The sequence below is a fragment of the Homo sapiens genome, chromosome 3 (genome assembly GCF_000001405.40).
Source record: "Homo sapiens chromosome 3, GRCh38.p14 Primary Assembly".
Classification (NCBI taxonomy): domain Eukaryota; kingdom Metazoa; phylum Chordata; class Mammalia; order Primates; family Hominidae; genus Homo; species Homo sapiens.
Genome location: NC_000003.12, coordinates 185,329,087 through 185,349,727, shown reverse-complemented (window position 1 = coordinate 185,349,727; position 20,641 = coordinate 185,329,087). Strand labels below are relative to the sequence as shown.

General features: G+C 39.8%; 1 protein-coding gene across 6 annotated transcripts in view, besides 1 other annotated feature; it reads right to left on the bottom strand.

The window, feature by feature from the left end:
* The window catches only part of MAP3K13 (mitogen-activated protein kinase kinase kinase 13), a 206,134-nt gene that overhangs the window by 139,367 nt on the left and 46,126 nt on the right, over positions 1-20,641 (bottom strand). The window lies entirely within an intron of this gene.
* Positions 17,043-17,102: an enhancer, noted in NCBI's record as "active region_20922". NCBI's record gives its function as "activates an Ori minimal core promoter by ATAC-STARR-seq in GM12878 lymphoblastoid cells {active_cell/tissue: GM12878}" and the evidence as "EXISTENCE:reporter gene assay evidence [ECO:0000049][PMID:35858748]".

Genomic DNA, 20,641 nt, shown 5'->3' with positions numbered 1-20,641 from the left:
CTGAGCTGAGATCTGATGATAAACACACAGTCCTCGCCCTGAAGAAGCTTACAGTCTAGAACTGGAAAGTTTCCTTTCTTAATACGTCTCACATACAGAATTTGGGCTGGGATGGAATTAAGGGTGAAAAAATTATTCATTCCAAAATACAGTTTTTGAAAACCACTCCAGACCATCTTCAGTTAGTTGAATCCCAATCTGTTCTTTCTCATTTTGAGACAGTCTTAAGATTGGGTAGATCATATACACCATGGAATTCCACAGACCCATAAAAAGAATGAAGTCATGTCCTTTGCTGCAACATGGATGCAGCTGGAGGCCATTATCCTGAGTGGATGAATGCAGAAAGAGAGAACCAAATACTACACGTTTTCACTTATACGTGAGAGCTAAACAATGGGGACACATGTACGTAAAGATGGAAATAAGAGACATTGAGGAAGGGAGGGAGGAGAGCAAGGACTGAAAAACCATCTCCTGGGTATTAAGTTCAATATTAGCATGATGGGTTCAATAGAAGCCCAAACCCCACCATGACACAATATACCAATGTAACAAACCTGCACATGTGCCCCTTGAATCTAAAATTAAAAAAAAAAAAGAATAAGTAGAAATGGAAGCCTTTGATTACAGTACCATATGCTTACAGCTGCTGCTTGTTCCTAGTTCAGAACAATCTGATTTCTCTGCCTTTGAAATCACCATTAGCTTTCAACCGGCCAGAGTACCAAGTGCTCCTCTTTTCTTTTCAAAACCCATAACCACTAGGCCTATCTTTTATTTATTTATTTATTTATTTGTTTGTTTGTTTTGAGACAGAGTCTCGCTCTGTTGCCAGGCTGCAGTGCAGTGCCGCGATCTCAGCTCACTGCAACCTCCGCCTCCTGGGTTCAAGCGATTGTCCTGCCTCAGCCTCCTGAGTAGCTGGGACTACAGGCGCCCGCCACCACGCCCAGCTAATTTTTGTATTTTTAGTAAAGACAGGGTTTCACCATGTTGGCCAGGATGGTCTCGATCTCTTGATCTCGTGATCCACCCGCCTCGGCCTCCCAAAGTGCTGGGATTACAAGCGTGAGCCACCATGCCTGGCCAGGCCTATCTTATAGCCACTCCTCGTGGTCTAGGGGACAGAATATCCACCTGTCAGTATAGTTTGGAAAGAAAAGCAGCATGTCCATAGGTCCCCTATGGTAGTGTTGCTTGCTCCTGTTATGAGTGAATTACAGAAAATGCTTGTCTAACTTTAGGGGGAATGTTATGATCTAGAGAAAACTATTATAAATACTCGAGAGATGTATTGGGCCTAAATTTCAAAATGAGCAAAATGAAGCTCCATTGAATATCATTCAAAATGGAAGCAGTGGCCTAAAAAGGCCACATTTTCTTAGATGTGTTTTTAGTTCATTAAATTACTCGAGGCTCCATAATAAATGGTCATCTTCAAAAGGCCATTTGTCTAGAAAAGAGGCTGGTGTCTTGAAGTGGCTTCCACTATAAGTAAATATAAAGAGAGGTAGGAGGAAAAAGTAGAATTCCAGAAAACCAGTAAAATATACTGTAATTAGTAAACAATGCAACATTTGAAAAATTAAATGCATTTTCCCCAGGAGATTATTTGTTGGAGCTCACTGCTTAGTTGGAGTATAAAATAGTCGCCAATTTCATGCTACATTTATATTTCTTTTTCTTTTCTTTCTTTCTTTTTTTTTTTTTTTGAGACGGAGTTTTGCTTTTGTTGCCCAGGATGGAGTGCAATGATGCAATCTCGGCTCACTGCAACCGCCGCCTCCCAGATTCAAGCAATTCTCCTGCCTCAGCCTCCTAAGTAGCTGGGATTACAGGTGTGCACCACCACACACACCTGGCTAATTTTGTATTTTTAGTAGAGACAGGGTTTCACCATGTTGGCCAGGCTGTTCTCGAACTCCTGACCTCAGGTGATCCACCCGCCTCGACTTCCCAAAGTGCGGGGATTACAGGTGTGCGCCACTACGCCTGGCTACATTGATATTTCTGAAATCGCCTCCATTACAAGTTCTTCACATTTAGGGCAAGTTCTTTTGTATTGTTCCCTCAAAATGCCTGGTGACATTTTCAATCGAATGAAAGAATGCTTTCTGCTGCTGCCATCTACTGCAAACTTAAAAAATGTGTTTTAAAAATGTGAAAGAGAAAATGGGCTAGTATTAAAGAATAATTTATAAGTCGGACAAGTAGACCGAGATCAATGTCATGCTTTACTTTTAACTAAACTATTAATTATTCCAGGCCTCTGAATGATGATCAATAAGGCAATGTATAAGAAATAGAGTAAATAGAGATGTATAAAGAAATAGATTAAGCTACACAGAACAGTATTAAATGGCTTTGTAAAGCTACACCTTGATATATCTGTATCTGTATACATAATCTGTAGTCTGTCCAATATATAAAAGCAAATCTCGGCCAGGTGCAGTGGTTCATGCCTGTAATCCCAGCACTTTGGGAGGCTGAGGTGGGTGGATCATAAGGTCAAGAGATCAAGACCATCCTGGCCAACATGGTGAAACCCCGTCTCTACTAAAAATACAAAAATTAGCTGGGTGTGGTAGTGCACACCTGTAATCCCAGCTACTCAGGAGGCTGACGCAGGAGAATAGCTTGAACCCGGGAGGTAGAGGTTGCAGTGAGCCGAGATTGCGCCACTGCACTCCAGCCTGGTGATGGAGTGAGACTCTGTCTAAAAAAAAAAAAAAAAAAACTTCCTTTGTGCTATGAACACCTCAGTTCAAAAGTAGTGCAAAATGCACTTTTACTAATTTGAACAAATGTGAGTTCAAAAATTATCAAGGTAGATAGATAAGCATACTAATAAGGCAGAGGGAGGAGGAGGAAAAGGTCATGAACAAGCAATTCACAGAAAAAATCTTGCACCCTTTGGAAAGGGTAAGGCAAAATAGATACTCTTATACACTGCTGATGGCTAAATAATTGCTGCATCTTTTTTGAAGTACAATTTGGCAATAGGTATCAGTAGGCTTAAAATGTAGATATCTTTTGACCCAAAATTCAAGTTTGAGAAGTTAATTCTAAATAAATAATCAGTACTTTGCAAAACGATCTAGCTACAAGGACTTCATCACATAATTATTTAAAACAAAAATAACTGGGAATAATATAATACTCCTAACAATGGAAGGTATTAAATAAATTATGATAAAACTATTCAATAGAACACTTAAAACCTTTACAGGTTGTATACTAAAATGTATAGGAACAGGTAAAAATATTCATGACAAAGTGTGAAAAAAGGCAGTCCACACAATAATAGATACCAGGTGATCTAACATGTATAGATGACTAGAAGGTTGAAGGATACAGATCATACATATATCATGCCTATCTCTGGATATAGAGAGACTGGTGATTTTATTTTCTTCTCTTTTAGTATAAATTTCTAGATTATCTGTGAAGTACAAATGTATTGCTTTTGGGAAAAGTTACAAAAATTGATAAGATAAGAAAAGTTCACTGCTATTTTAACCAAATTATTTTAACTTTAAGAAAACGCGTTATTGGGGTTTTGGGGAGATGTTGGTCAAAGGATACAAAATTTCAGTTAGAAGGAATAAGTTCAGGAGATCTCTTGTATAACACAGTGACTATAGTTAATAACAATGTATTCCACACATGAAAATTGCTAGAATAGATTTTAAATATTTCACCACAAATAAATAATAGGTATGTGAGGTAAAACAAAAACAAAACTTGTTACAATTTTTTCCCTTCTAATTTAAGCAAGATAGCCTGAAAATGATTCTGTAATACACTATGTCAGCAGTTCCCAACCTTTTTGGCACCAGGGACCGGTTTCATGAAGAGAATTTTTCCATGGATTTAGGGGGCGGGATGGGAGGGGGTGGTTTCAGGATGATTCAAGTGCATTACATTTATTGCGCACTTTATTTCTATTATTACATTGTAATATATAATGAAATAATTACACAACTCACAGTAATGTAGAATCAGTGGGAGCCCTGTGCTTTTTTTCCTGCAACTAGACAGTCCCATCTGGAGGTGATGGGAGACAATGACAGATCATCAGGCATTAGATTCTCATAAAGGGCACGCAATCAAGATCTGTCACATGTGCAGTTCACAATAGGTTTCCTGCTCCTATGAAAATCTAATGCCACCGCTGATCTGACAGGAGGGGGAACTCAGGGAATAATGCAAGTGATGGGGAGCAGCTGTAAATACCAGATGAAGCTTACTTACTGGCCTGCTGCTCATCTGCTGTGCAGTCCAGTTCCTAATAGGCCACAGACCAGCATCAGTCAGTGGCCAGGGGGTTGGGGACCCCTGCACTATGCTGTAATAGATAGTGTGTCTTTTCACTAGAGTGAGGGATGGTCATGGCTGAGATATACATTGAGGAGGTGGGAGGATTTGGAATGAAAAGCCTTAACCGGAAGAAGGTGTATGCGTTTACGTGTGTGTGTGTGTGTATGTGTGTGTGTATACTTTTTTGAGAGAAAACAGAAAAGTGCAGATGGCAATAAAAGATGATGAGATTAGTAGAAATGGGGCCGGGTGCAGTGGCTCATGCCTATAATCCCAGCATTTTGGGAGGCCAAGGCAGGCGATCACCTGAGGTCAGGAGTTCAAGACCAGCCTGGCCAACATAGTGAAACCCTGTCTTTACTAACAATACAAAAATTAGCTGGGCATGGTGGCGCATGCCTGTAATCCCAGCTACTTGGGAGGCTGAGGCAGGAGAATCATTTGAACCTGGGAGGCAGAGGTTGCAGTGCACTCCAGCCTGGGAGACAGAGCGAGACTCTGTCTCAAAAAAAAAAAATAAATTATGAGATTAGTAGAAATGAAGTTGCGAGATCCCATTTCCAATAACATTATAGAAGGCAGATCACCTGGTGAAAGGAAAAGGTGACAGATTTGGGATTCTATGGAGCAAGAGAGGTTTCAACAGCCACTGTGGGAAACAGTCGCTAGAAATGAAAGGCCACCAATCAGCCATGAGGGCCTAACTGAGGATGCAAAGCAATCAACGTGGTAGCTGAAAATACGATTAAGGCGGTACTCTGTGTTGGGCATAGTCAGAGGAGGAAGGACCAAAGGCTGATAAGGGGGGCGGAAGTGATTATTAAATGGCTAATGATATTTCCAAGTTGGATGGGGCATAAATGGAAAGGGGTCAAGTGCATATTCAGTTTGGTATCTACTGCCATGTATAGTGTATAGCAGAGCAGGGTAATATATGTTTAAGAAAAAAGAAGTGAGGAGAAACTGTGTAAGGAGAGGGGTAAGATAATTAACTGAGCACCTATTATGTAACAGATTCTTTTGTCACAGATCATCAAGTCTCTTCTTATTGGCTGGGTTTCTCCTTTGCCTATAAGCCCGTCCATGTCTCTCCTTTTCAAAATTTCCTTCTGACTTATCTATTCACTCCCCTTTTCTTTACCACCAAACTTCTTGAAAAAACACTATATACCAGGACTAGCAGATACTAGGCACATGTGCCTCTATGCCTCTTCCCAGACCCATAGCAGGTATAGACAGTAGATGGTGGCACTCTTTCCCACAGACATACTCCATCAACATATGCAAAATTGGGTAGCATCTAGCAAAGGGCCTTGTGTATGGGAAACATTCAATAGCAATTTTCTAAATGAATGAACACATGCATATCTTATAGCAAGGTAGATTTGTGATCCATCACATTTATTGGAACAAATAAGAAATGTTTTTCCACTGTATCTTTGATCTCCTGGAAATGGGTTCCCTTTAGGCTCCTAAAAATAGCACCTTTGGCTCCTTACAGGCAGGAAGCCCTTGCTTAGGTCAATCTAGTTAGCTGCATGCCAAGCTGTTTCTAACTACAGTACATTCCAGTTTGAAGGTATGTTTTGGGATCATGTATATCTTTTACCCTCCTGATTTTTATTATTCCATTTCTAGTCATTAAAAAATATCCAGCCAGGCGCAGTGGCTTACACCTGTAATCCCAGCACTTTGGGAGGCCAAGGCGGGCAGATCACAAGGTCAAGAGATCGAGACCATCCTGGCCAACACGGTGAAACCCCATCTCTACTAAAAATACCAAAACTAGCTGGGCATGGTGGCACGTGCCTGTAGTCCCAGCTATTCGGGAGGCTGAGGCAGGAGAATCACTTGATCCTGGGAGGTGGAGGTTGCAGTGACCCAAGATCACACCACTGCACTCCAGCCTGGCGACAGAGCGAGATGCCGTCTCAAATAAATAAATAAATAAACATACCCTGCTGAGAGTCGTCCGTTTGCAGCACAGAGGAGGAAAAAAATAAAAACAAGGCACTCCGTTGCCTTTTTAGGTACAGAAACCATCTTTGATAAGGCATTAATTCCACCCTGCAAGTAGGATTTGTGTAATCTCCAGGCCCATTATGGCAGACAAACTCTTAAGGTGCCCCTCATGATCCTTACCTTCTCGTGTTCACACCCTTGTGTGATTCCCCTCTTTGAGTGTAATACTTGCTTCCAATCAATATAATACAGAAAAGGTGCTGGGATGAACATGATTACGTGCACGTAATATGTGAATATGCTATATAAAACTGGAGCATTTGTCTGGAGTCTCTCCTTCCCTCGCTAGCTATAAGGAGGCTAGTGGCCATGTTGGGGAACCCCGCATGGCAAGGAAATGTGGGTGGCCTCTATGACCTAAGGGCAGACTTTAGCCAACAGGGAGAAAAAAACAAAATAAAAAAAACTGTAGTTCTCGGTACTACAACCACACCCTAAAACCACAAGGAAGTGAATGGTGTTAATAACTTATGTCTATGAGTTCCCCAGTTAAGCATCCAGAGAACGCAGCCCTGACTGAAGCTATGTGAGACCCTCAGAGAAGGACAAAGCTAGGCCATGCCCAGTAACTGAGGTGACAAATGTGTATTGTTTTGAGCCACTGAGTTTGTGATTATATTGTTACGCAGTAAGAGAAAATTAATACACCTACAGAACTTCACACTATTCCATCTAGAGACAACTTGCTTTACATTTACAGGAAACATTTACAAAAAGCACCTAATAAAGATTATAATGGCATACTCTAATACTCCTTTTTGTATAAATAATAGTGAGTAACATAACAAACATCTTGCCTGGTGACTCAAGCATGATTTATAGACCTAATATCAGTAGCAATAATCATATCTAGTACTGTATTAGATAGAGAATTATGAAAATATTCTTGCCTTCCAATGTCCTTTGTTTCCTAAAAGTCTTGTCTATGTCATCTTGGAGTTTCTTTATATAAAAGTCTCGTTTTCCAGTATGTTTCTAAAATAGCAAAAGCCTGTGGCATAGATAAGACAGACAGAGCAGCTTGCAGGTTGCATTGAAAACTGCAGAAGGGACAGATGAGTATACTACTTGTGCACTGCAGCATGCAGATTGCCCCAAAACGTAACAACTCAAAGCAACTAACATTTATTTTCTCATACAGTCTCTGAGGGGCAGGAATCTCGGAGCAGCATGGGTGAGTGGTTCTGGCTCAGGGTCTCTCATTAAGTTGCAGTCAAGCAGTTGACCAGGGATGTAGTCACCTGAAGGCTGGAGGAACTACTTCCAAAATTGTTCACTCACATGGCTGTTTGCAGGAGGCCTTGGTTACTTGTCACGTGGGCCTTTCTGCAGGGACATCTGAGTCTCCTCATGACAAGGCAGCTGGCTTCCCCTAGAGCAAGTTATTCACAGCAAGCAAAAAGCTGCAGTGCTTCTTATGACCTAGTTCAGGGCTTGGCAAACTTTTTCTTAAAGTGCTAGATAGTAAATATTTTAGATTTGTATGCCTTATAGTCTGTATCACAGCTACTCATCTCAGTTGTTGTCATGTAAAAACAGCCACATAGAATACACAAATAAATAGGCATGGCGTGTTCCAATAAAACTTTATTTATAAAATAGGCAGTCAGCCTGTGGACTATAGTTTGCCAATCTCTGACCTGGTCTCCAAGGCTGGAAACTTGAAGCCTCTTGCTCCTTCTTTATTCTATTCATTAGAAGCTAGTCATTAGGTCCAGCCCACACCCAAGGGGAGAGGAATTAGGCTATACCTCTTAAAGGGAGGAATAAAAAAGAAAATTTAGACATGCCTTAAAATCACTACCACAGGCTTAACACAGAAAGCAGAATGTGGGTTAAACGTTGCATTAGTTTCCCGGGCATATTTCAACAAATTATCACAAACTGGTGGCTTAAAACAACAGAAATTTTTTCTTTTACAGTTCTAGAGGCTAGAACTCCAAAATCAAGGTGTTGGCAGGCCCATGCTCCTGCTGAAGGCTTTGGGAAAAAACCGTTCCTTGCCTCTTCATAGCTTCTGATGGCTCCTGGAAATCTTTGATGCTCCTTGGCTTATAGCTTCTTCACTCCAGTCTCAACCTCTGTCTTTACATGGTCCTCTTCTCTATATATTTCTCTGTGTGTCCTCTCCTCTTCTTATAAGGATACCAGTTGTTGGATTTAGAGTCCACCCTAACTACTATGACCTCATATGTAACTAATTACATCTATAAAGAGCCTGTTTCCAAATACGGTCACATTTTGAAGTTCTGGTGGACGTGAATTTTGGGGGGACACTATTTGGTGTTGTGGTGTGTTGAATAGTATGCCCCCAAAATTCACATTTACCCAGAATCTCAGAATGTAACTTTATTTGGAAATAAAGTATTACATTAGTTAAGTTAATATGAAGTCAGACTGGATAGGATGGTGTAATAGTCCTTTCTCACACTGCTATGAAGAAATAGCAGAGAATGGATCATTTATAAAGGAAAGATGTTTAACTGACTCACAGTTCCGCATTGCTGGGGAGGCCTCAGGAAACTTACAATCATGGTGGAAGGCAAAAGAGAAGCAAGCACCTTCTTCACAGCATGGCAGAACAGAGTGAGTGCCAGCAGGGGAAATGCCAGACCCTTATAAAACCATCAGATCTTGTGAGACTTACTCACTATCACAAGAACGGCATAGAGCAAACTACCCCCGTGATCTAATTACCTCCACCTGGTCCCGCCCTTGACACGTGAGGATTATGGGGATTACAATTCAAGATGAAATTTTGGGTGGGGACACAGCCAACCATATCAGATGGGCTCTAAATCCAGTGACTGGTGTCCTTATAAAAAGAAAAGGGACACTTAAGCCCTGAAATATCTTAGGGAAGTTTCTCATCATCCTCAGGATAAAGTACACATTCCTTAACTTGGTACCTAAAGCCATTCCTGATGCGTCTTTAGCAACTTCTCTGTCCTCATTTCCTGCCACTTCCTTAATATTCACTCTAGTCAAATGCAACTGCTCCTTCTCCCAACCTATTAGGCTGCATGGCCTCACTGCTTCTTCTCCCTACAGTGCCCTGTCGCCTCTTTTCCTTGGATACAGGGAAGTACCCCATAGTTTACATCAGGTTTTATTTGCAATAAGAATGTCACCTAATGTGAACTGCATACTTTATTCCACACCTTTTGTATCATTAAAAAATCTTTGATTATATATTCTTTACATACATTAAACTCATAATCTCGTGCTCAGTATAATGCTGACAATGCTATACATTCATGTAACCACCACCCAAAACAAGACCTAAAACATTTTTATAACCTCTAGAAAGTTCCCTGGTGCATCTTTCCAGTCAATAAGACACCTCCCCTCCACCCCTTACCAAATATATTTTGACAAAAAAAAAAAGGAAAAGAAATAATTAAAGGTCACAAAACAATAATAACTTTTCCCATTGGTTATTAAAACTGCTTTGCATAGTTTCAGCTTGCATGATCATTTTTAGAGTCCCATATAACTAAGTGAGGGCTGTCTGTATGTTTTAATGTTTCCTTTTATTTTCTTTTCACCATTTTAGCTGTATCTGTGTGTGAATAGTTGCTGTAAAGCAGAGGTAGACAAACTATAGCCCACGGGCCAAATCCAGCTGGCTGCTTATTTTTACAAATAACACTTCATTAGAACACAGCCTCTCTCCTTCATTTATTTATTGTCTATAGCTGCATTTGTGCTACAATGGCAGAATTAGGTAGTTGCTACAGAGACTACATGGCTCACAAAACCTGAAGATATTTATATGTGGCCCTTTATAGAAAAAAATTTCCCAGCCCCTGCTCTAAAGCAATGTTTTGTAAAGTTTAGCATGCATCACAGTCACAGAAAAACAAATCATGGTACCATACCCCCAGAGTTTCTGATTCAGTTAGGCCTGGGGTGGAGCCCAAAAATTTCATCTCTAACAAGATCCCAGGTAATATTGATGCTGCTGGTCTGCAGAACACACTTCGAGAACACACTGTTCTAGAGATAGCATTTTATTTCATTTCATTTCATTTCATTATTTTAGTTTAGTTTAGTAGTTTTTTGAGACAGAGTCTCGCTCTGTCACCCAGGCTGGAGTGCAGTGGCACGATCTCATCTCACTGCAACCTCCGCCTCCCTGGTTCAAGCAATTCTCCTGCCTCAACCTCCTCAGTACCTGGGATTACAGGCACCCACCACCACACCTGGCTATTTTTGTATTTTTAATAGAGACGGGGTTTCTCCATGTTGGCCAGACTGGTCTCAAACTCTTGACCTCAGGTGACCCACCCGCCTCAGCTTCCCAAAGTATTGGGATTATAGGTGTCAGCCACCACGCCCAGCCTAGAGATAGCATTTTATAATTTTAACTTATTACACTTATTATACCTCATATACCACACTATTTTGTTTCCACCTTTTGTGCTCTTGTTATTATGTCTTTTACTTCCTTATACACTCTTAACTCTATTATACATTGTTATTATTTTTGCTTTAAACAGGCCAGAATCTCATTCTTTGTAAATTAACACAAGTAAAATTGACTTTTTATGGTGTATAGTTCTAAGAGTTTTAACTTATATGTGGATTCATGTAACTGCCATCACAATTATTCCCTCTGTTAAAGGATGTAGCAGGAAAGGGGAGCATGAACAAATGGGGAAGTTGACCACAGAGATGGAAAGTATAAAAAAGAATCAAGAAGAAATGCTAGAAATAAAAAATATCAAAATTGAAGAATTAATTTGATAGGCATAGGGGTAATGTTATATAATGAAGGCAACTTCTGTACTAAGTTGTAAGGTTTTCATAATATTTTCCTTATTCAGTGAACCAGCACTATTAACATCCACTTATATGTTAGTAATTTCCAACTTGCTACTTATGGCTTCTAAGTCATTTCTTGTATAATTTCTTAAGTACATTGTTTGAACACTTGATTCTTGAGCCTTTTGACTGGGAAAAGTTCTAGCAAAATTATTTTCTTTTTTACAGTTTCTTAAAACACCCATATGAGCCACTTGTTTTTCATGTCTTTTTTTTTTTTTTTTTTTTGAGAGAGTCTCACTCTGTCACCCAGGCTGGAATGCAATGGCACGATCTTGGTTCACTGCAACCTCTGCCTCCTGGGTTCAAGAGATTCTCCTGCCTCAGCCTCCCGTGTAGCTGGGATTATAGGAGCACGCCACCATACCCAGCTAATTTTTTGTATTTTTAGTAGAGACGGGGTTTCACCATGTTGGCCAGGCTGGTCTCGAACTCCTGGGCTCAAGTTTTCTGCCCGCCTTGGCATCCCAAAGTGCTGGGATTACAGGTGTGAGCCGCTGCGACTGGCCATTGCTTTTCATGTTTATTCCTATGGGTCTCATTATCAAATCATTTTTCAGATAATAGTTTATACAGGCAGCCCTTTACAATTTTTCAGTGAATGACTTTTTATGGTCTTTCCTTGATGAGCTTGTTTCCTAGTTTGTGTTAACCTAGTTATTTTAGGGAGTTTTAGTGAGGAAAATTTGTAGTTTCCTAGATACTTGGGAGCTATTGTGTCCCCTCCCCACCCCCACCATATTATTAAATTCTGAAAACTGGACAGACAATGGAAAGACAGCCTAGAGGTGAGGCCCAGTAGTTCTTAAACCTTCTGATTATAAATAATAAAGAATCAGGTTGCTAGAAAAGAGATCAAGTTTCAGTGACTAGGTCCAGGTTAATAAGTATTAGAGTTATATAAGCCTCTTTCCTTTCACCTCCTACAACCCCCTATATGCCTTCTGTGGAATTTCTCATCTTCTAAACACCCATTTTATGTTAACACAGGCCCGAAATCAGTTTTCAAGTTCTGATGTGAAATTCTTTTCATTATCATCTGCGTTGGCATTCTGCCTCCACTTATTTGCCTAAGTGTTTCTCTTGCCCATTTTTCTTAGATGAGATGTGTCATAAAATACCGTAAAGCGTGTGTTTACTTTGTGTTGCCTTTATTGAAAATTAGAGAAAAGGCTGCTGTACTTTCCAGGTGTTCTGTGAGTGTCTGTGAAACATCCTGTGTAAGTTGCTTCTTCTAAGTTTGTATTGCAAGTGTATTTTGAAATGAATTTTACCAGGATTCATCACATCATTTTGCTATGGAAACCACTGCTACGCATCTCACAACATGGCATTAAAGACCGAGTCATTAGGCCGGCTGCGATGGCTTACACCTGTAATCCTAGCACTTTGGGAGGCTGAGGTGGGAGGATCACTTGAGCTCAGGAGTTCAAGACCAGCCTGGGCAACATAGTGAGAACTCATCTCTATTTTTATTTAAAATTTTTTTTAAAAAAGATTTAGTCTTTAAATTACAGAGTCATGCTCAAAGTAGTATATTTTATTGTTTCATTATAATCACGTTTGTTGTTCTGTGAGGAAGGCAGAATGAGATATTATTATCCCATTTTCCAGGTTGAGGAGCTGAGACACAGACAGATGATTAAATAAGATGGCACATGAGGAAGTATCTAGGACAGATCCTGGTGTACATGTACATAGATACAGACATAAACACACATATATTCATACTTTTTTTGTAATAAGGGGAGGGCAATAATTTTTTTCTTTAAAAGAGTATATTTTGCTATCAAAAGGCAAATTAGTGGCAGATCTAAAGTTAAAGCCTTTTAACTTCCAGTCATGTATAGTCTATCTAGTAAGCCCTATTCAGATGACATTGATGACATTTCCATATCTCATTATTAGCTTTCCACATTCAGGAGAAACTGATATCTATAACAGTAGTTCAATTTTAAAAATACAATCCAGAAATATTATTCCTTAAACTTTCTTTTCTTTTTTTTTTTTTTTTGAGACAGAGTCTCACTCTGTCACCCAGGCTGGAGTGCAATGGCGCCATCTCGGCTTACTGCAGCCTCCGCCTCCTATGTTCAAGTGGTTTTCCTGCCTCAGCCTCCTGAGTAGCTGCAACTATAGGCATGTGCCACCATGCCCAGCTAATTTTTGTATTTTTAGTAGAGATGGGGTTTCACCATGTTGGCCAGGCTGGTCTTGAACTCCAGACCTCAAGCTATCTGCCCACCTCAGCCTCCCAAAGTGCTGGGATTACAGGTGTGAGCCACCACACCCAGCCAATTTCTTTTCTTTTTATATTTATTCTGACATTACATTCCATTTTGACTTCTTTTTGAGATTTATTTTCCTGAACAGGATGGGCCTTGGGTCAAATTCTGGTTAAGGTGAAGTTTGGCCTCTACTCTCTCTTCTGGTTCCTCTCCTACTTCTTATGTGACAACTCATATTCCATAAAACTTCAGTTCATGGGCAGCAACAGCAGGTAGGGGAATCTGATTCATCAGTAAACTATGAGTCAGAGACCAGGCATGCTACAGAATCTAGAATGCATAAAGACTGTCAGTCTACAGCCCTTCAAGCCATTAGGAACTAGGACTATAGGAGCTGAGTACAGAGAAGCAAAGGGTTAATAACCTGGAGTTTGCTAGGCAGTGAGAGAGGAGGGCTGAGCAGGCCAAGCCAGTACAGTTGGCCCTCCTTATCCTCCTCACTATCTGTAAATTGAAAATATTTGGGGAAAAAATTGCATCTGTACTGAACATGTATAGGCTTTCTTATTTCATAAATAATAAAGTATAACAATGATTCACATAGCATTTACATTGCATTAGGTATTATAAATAATTAGAGATGATTTAAAGTATATGAGAGGATGTGCATAGGTTACATAGGTTTTATATAAGGAATCTGAACATCCTTGGATTTTGTTATCCCTAGGAGGTCGTGGAACCAATCCTCCACCGATACTGAGGGACAATATATATGGAACCTGCAGCAAGGAAAATGAAAAATGCTTTGCACCTTTAGTCACTCTTTGCCCCTCTTACTAGGGTGAATTCTGCTGTAATGTGACATTAGCCTAGAGTAACTGCAACAGTTGGCTGGCCAACCAGCAAATAGGGGATGGGGTGTAATCACAGCTCTTTGGGCAGAAGGGTTTTCTTTACTCGAGTTGTTGAAGGGAAGGGGATCCAATTACATTATTTTGTATCAAAGAGGGGGCTTATTATAGCTCTCAAAAATACTATATTTTGAGGAGAGAATCAAAGCAACACTTCTCCAAGTATGTTCCATGTTCCAGATGAATAAAGGATTCTGTGATCAAACACTTTAGAAAATGCTGCATGGTCCTCTTACTAGAAACATTAACATATTAAAGGTCCTAAGAAGTTCTTGCAATAAGTTCATTTAATTGTATTTAATGTACTATTATGGTTAGTGCTTTTAGTGTCCTTCTCAAGAAATCTTTGCATAACCCAAGATTGCTGTTTTTTTTTTTTTAAGGTTTCTGGTTCTATGTTTAGATCTATGATCCATGTCTATTTATCAGTACATCCATGTCTATTGCAGTTTTGTGTAGAGTGAGAGAGGCATGAAATTTTTTCCCCCTATAAGAAAATCCATTTGTTGGCTGGGCGAGGTGGCTCATGCCTGTAATCCCAGCACTTTGGGAGGCCGAGGCAGGCAGATCACTTGAGGTTAGGAATTCGAGACTAGCCTGGCCAACATGGTGAAACACCGTCTCTACTAAAAATACAAAAATTAGCCACGTGTGGTGGCACTCACCTGTAATCCCAGCTACTCGGGAGGCTGAGGCAGGAGAATTGCTTGAACCCAGGAGGCGGATTGCAGTGAGCCGAGATGGCACCACTGGACTCCAGCCTGGGTGACAGAGCGAGACTTCATCTCAAAGAAAAAAAGAAAAAAAAAAAAAGAAAATCCATTGTTTCAGCAACATGTTAAAGAAAACTACTCTTTTTTCATTGAACTGACTCACCACCTGATCAAAAATCAATTGACCTTATATGTGTGAATCTATTTCTGATTTCCCTATTCTGTTCCACCGACAAATCTGCCTGTCCTCAAGGCAATATCACACTGTCTTGATTATTGTTTCAGAGTTAAGTGTTCAAGTCACGTATTATAAGTCATTTACCTTTTTGTTACTTTTCAAGATTGTTTTAGCTATTGTATATCTTTTGTATTTTCACAAAAAATTTAGAAATAGCTTGTCAATTTCGTCAATATTGCCTGCTGAAATTTTGATTGGGAATGCATTAGATCTACAGACTGATTTAGGGAGAAATGGCACCTTAACAATTTATATCCATGATCATGGTATATATATATTGCACTTTCTATTTCTGAGTTGTTAAGTTTTTCTCAGCAATGTTTTACAGTCTTGAGTATAGAGGTGTTGTGCTCTTTTGAAAGATTTATTCCTGTGTGTTAGGTATTTTTTCTTATTTTCTTTCTTTCTTTTTGAGACAGGGTCTCACTCTGTCACCCAGACTGGAGTGCAGTGGCATGACCATAGCTCACTACAACCTCCACCTCCTGGGCTCAAGCGATCCTCTCACCTCACCCTCCTGAGTAGCTGAGACTACAGGTGCGTGCCTCTATGCTGGGCTAATTTTTGTATTTTTTGTAGACACAGCGTTTTGTCATGTTGCTTAGGATGGTCTTGAACTCCTGAGCTCAGGCAATCCATCTGCCTCAGCCTCCCAAAGTGCTAGGTTTATAGGCATGGGCCACCACACCCAGCCTCTTTTTCTTTCTATTTTTTTCATATTTTTAATTTTTTTAAATGGATATGAAGTCTTGCTATGTTGCCCAGGCTGGTCTTTAACTCCTGGCCTCAAGTGATCCTCCGGGCTCAGCCTCTCAAAATGTTGGGATTACAGGCTTGAGCCCACTGTGCCCAGCCAGATATTTTTAATGGTGATATTTTCACCTATTTTAGCTGTTGTTTCTAGTATGATTTTTATGTTGACTCTAACCTGTGGCCTTACTAAGTTCATTAATTAGTTCAAGTTTTTTTTATAGATTGTATAAGGTTTTTTATGCATACAATCATGTCATCTGTTAATGACAGTTTTATTTCTTTTCTGCACTTTAGGTCTTTTAATTTCTTTTTCCTTTTTTGTTTTTGCCTTATCATACTAGCCCTATACTAAGTATCTAATATACATCATCTCATCTTTACAACAATCCAATGTTATTCCAATTTAACAAATAAGAAAATGTGGCTCAGAAAGGTTCAGTAACTTGTCCAATCAAGATTGCACAGCTATTAGTAGATCTAGAATTCAAACCCAGGTAGTCTTATTCCATACCTGTATGTACGACTACTAGACTAGCTTATAAATTTGGAAAACTCAAGGGCACAAGAACAAAAAATGTTATCAAATTAAAAATAGGAAAAAAATTCCATTACTGGCAAAGAATATGAAGAGTTCACAGAAGAAAAAGGCATTTATTTTAAATATGAAAAGATGCTCAACCCCTCTCATAATGAAAGAAATACAAATTAAAACTATGATAAAATGGTATAGCTGCTATGGAAAACGTATGGTGGTTCCTCAAAAAATTAAAAATAGAATTACCATATGATCCAACAATCCCATTGCTGGGTATATAGCCAAAAGAACTGAAAGCAGGACCTCAAAGAGATATCTGCACATCCATGTTCACAGAGGCCTTATTCGCAATAGCCAAGAGGTAGAAGCAACCCAAATATCTATTGATGAATGAATGGATAAACAGGACATGGCATATACATACAATGGGATATTGTTCACCTTACAAATGAAGGAAATCCTGCCATATACTACATCACGGATAAGCCTTGAGGACATTAGGCTAAGTGAAATAAGCCAGCCACAAAAGGATAATTACTGTGTGATTCCACTTACATGAGATAGCTACTAGTCATTCATTGAAACAGAAAGTAGAATGGTAGTTGCTAGGAGTTAGCAGGAGGAGGAAGTGGAGAGTTGTTATTTAATGAGTATAGAATTTCAGTTTCACAAGACAGAAGTGTCCTGGAAATCTGTTGCACAAGAACGTGAATATACTTAACACTACCGAACTGTACACTTAAAAATGGTTACCTATGTTATAGGATTTTTAACCACAATTAAAAATGAAAATTAGTTTTTAAAACTTCAACACAAATTTTATTGTAAATTCTAAAAAACAAACACTATGCTGAAACCATTATTTAACCTATCAAACTGGCAAAAATCCAAAAGTCTGATGATTCTGTTGGCAAGGATATGAGAAACAGTACTCTTATAATGGGGGGGGGGAGTACACATTGGTACAATCCCTAAAGAAGGCAGTTAGGCAATATTTATGATACCTTTTGATCCAGTAATTCTACTTTGGGGAATTTAGTCATATGGATATACTGTATGCATGTATAAAATGATACATGTACAAGGCTATGAACTTCAGCATTGTTTACAATAGGAAGACACTGGAAACAACCAAAATGTCTATCAACAGGTGACTGGTTATATAAATTACAGTACATCCGTACAATGGATTAGTAGGCAGCTATTTAAAAATGAGGACACTCTCTATGTACTTACATGGAAAGAGATTCAACATATATTACAACTGAAAACATTTAGAACATTACGTATAATGTTATGTGTAAAAAGGAGGGAAATAAGAATCTATTTATACTTTTATATTTCCTTACTACATATATCAAGAAACTCTGGAAAGATACATGGAAAAATAATAGCCGTGGTTTGGGGACCCTGAATGGGAGCTGAATGGATGGAGAACTGGCTGGAGTGGGAAGTTGATATGTTTTGGTCTTGGAAATGTGAATATATCATCTATTCAAAAAATTCCTATGGTTGGAAATAAATTTTAATGACACCAGTTGTCATACAACGATTTACCAAGTGTCTACTACATGTCAAGCAGGCACTATCCTAGGCACTGACAATATGGCCCTGAACAAGACAAAGTTCTTACATTCTAGAGGGAAAGACCAAATATATATCCTACATAACACAACACACACACACATACACACACAGGCATACATATATGTACACACATTTTTTAATTTATAAAATAAATACTGCCAGGTGGCTACTTAAAAAAAAAGAAAAGAAAAGAAAAGGCCAGGCGCAGTGGTTCACGCCTGTAATCCCAGCACTTTGGGAGGCCAAGGCAGGCAGATCACCTGAGGTCGGGAGTTCGAGACCAGCCTGACCAACATGGAGAAACCCCATCTCCTTACTAAAAATACAAAATTAGCTGGGCATGGTGGCGCATGTCTGTAATCCCAGCTACTGGGGAGGCTGAGGCAGGAGAATCGCTTGAACCCGGGAGGCAGAGGTTGCAGTGAGCCGAGATCCCACCATTGCACTCCAGCCTGGGCAACAAGAGTGAAACTCCGTCTCAAAAAAAAAAAAAAAAAAGGTAAATTAGGTTAAAAGAAAAAAAGTGTTATGGTGGAAGTGGAGTAGGGTGCCATTTTAGTTAGGGTAGTCTGGGAAGGCCTCTCTGAGGAGGAGCTATTTGAATAGAGACCCGAATGAAGGCTGGGAAGAAACAATGAGGGGGAAGAGCTTTCTAGGCAGCAGCTGCCCTAAGGCAAGAGCAGGTCTGATGTGTTCAAGAGAAAGCAAAACACCTTTGTAGCTAGAGCAACCTGAGTGAGAACAATGGCAGGCAATGATGTAAAACACATGCTTGAAAGCCAGATCCTGAGGGCTGGTTTGTAGGGCACGAGCAGTGGTCTGGATGGTATGGGCACCTACTGGAGGTTAAAAACATTGTTTTCAAAGGGGCTTGTTACCATGCGGCTAGTACACACCTGTATGGCCTTCCAGGTTGTTAAAAGACTGAAACATTTCAAGTCCCATGAGAAAAATAGCTGCTTCCCTAGTAACAATGTTACCTGCCACACTGGCTTCTTTCCCAGGACACCCCCCAGCCCTCCACTCCTTCTCCTCAACCAACAAGTAAATGAGGAACTTGGCCCAGCAGAAGCTATTGACTTGGAGAAGTTAATCAGCTCAAGAGGCTAGAATCACGAGATTCAGAAAGCTAGAGGGTGAGTTAAGGTTTTCAGTTCATTGTAGCCCTAGAGCCTTAGGACAACGCGTCCTGGATTCCATCTCACCGAGATTCAGTTGGGGCCCAGCACCATGATCTGAGCTCCCGCTCAGTACAGCAGAAACAAGAAGCAGGATAGAGAAACAGACTGAGGTCTGAGATGAAGACAGAGGAAGGGGAAACCCAGTGAACGTCTATATAAATAATCTCTCTTCTGAGCACTCCTCCAGTGATTTGAAAGGCTACTGGCTAGGCCGGGCGCGGTGGCTCACGCCTGTAATCCCAGCACTTTGGGAGGCCGAGGCGGGTGGATCACGAGGTCAGGAGATCGAGACCATCCTGGCTAACATGGTGAAACCCCATCTCTACTAAAAAAAAAAAAAAAAAAAAAAAAAAAAAAAAAAAATTAGCCAGGCATGGTGGCGGGCGCCTATAATCCAAGCTACTTGGGAGGCTGAAGCAGGAGAATCACTTGAACACGGGAGGCGGACCTTGCAGTCAGCCAAGATTGTGCCACTGCAGAGCGAGACTCCGTCTCAAAAAAAAAAAAAAAAAAAAAGGCTACTGGCTAATTCGACCTTTTATATAGTTAAAAGTCATATAATTGTCATGTACCAGGTTTTTTAAAAATGCATTGTGGTAAAAGGGAAATAGAAAATACCAACCTTTCCAACACCACATGCGACCTTAACATTCTCATGGCTGCATTAATAAAGTCAATATGTTTGTGTAACAATGTGTAGTTCCTGGATCCTAATCTCAAGACAGAAGAGCTGAAACACGGCAACTCTAATTTCATATATGAAACTCATTTTACGCACCATAGTACTGGGAATTTAGTCTGAAAAATCCATACAGATGTCAAATCTTAAGAAAACAGATTTCTCCGAAGTTGCGTGAAACCTCAGGCTGCTTGCCACTTCTGTTTTACAAAGTTCTTCCTCTTTGAAAATACATTCTGCTGCTCTTAAATCTTGGATCCCAACATCTTGTTACAGGATATTAAGTTCTACTTTATTCTCATTCTTTTAATTTCTTTGAACATCAAAACCTCCAATTTAATGATCTGAGAGACTGCTAAATATTTGCTGACATGAATCTGTAACTATGAATCTAAACCAGAGGAAAAGCAACTGGAAAGAACATGAGGATAAATCTAAGCACTGCTTAGAAACAATCTCTCGGCACTAGGTACATACTCACTTTTATTTTCTAACTGTAAACACTTGCACTCAACATAAGACATTAGAAATCATTTCGTGCACACGGGACCTGTTTTAGCAGCACACTTGCTGATACACCTCACGGCTTTCTTTTCCATTAAAAAAAAATAAAACTACTGCTGAGTGCTGAAACTTTCTTTTCA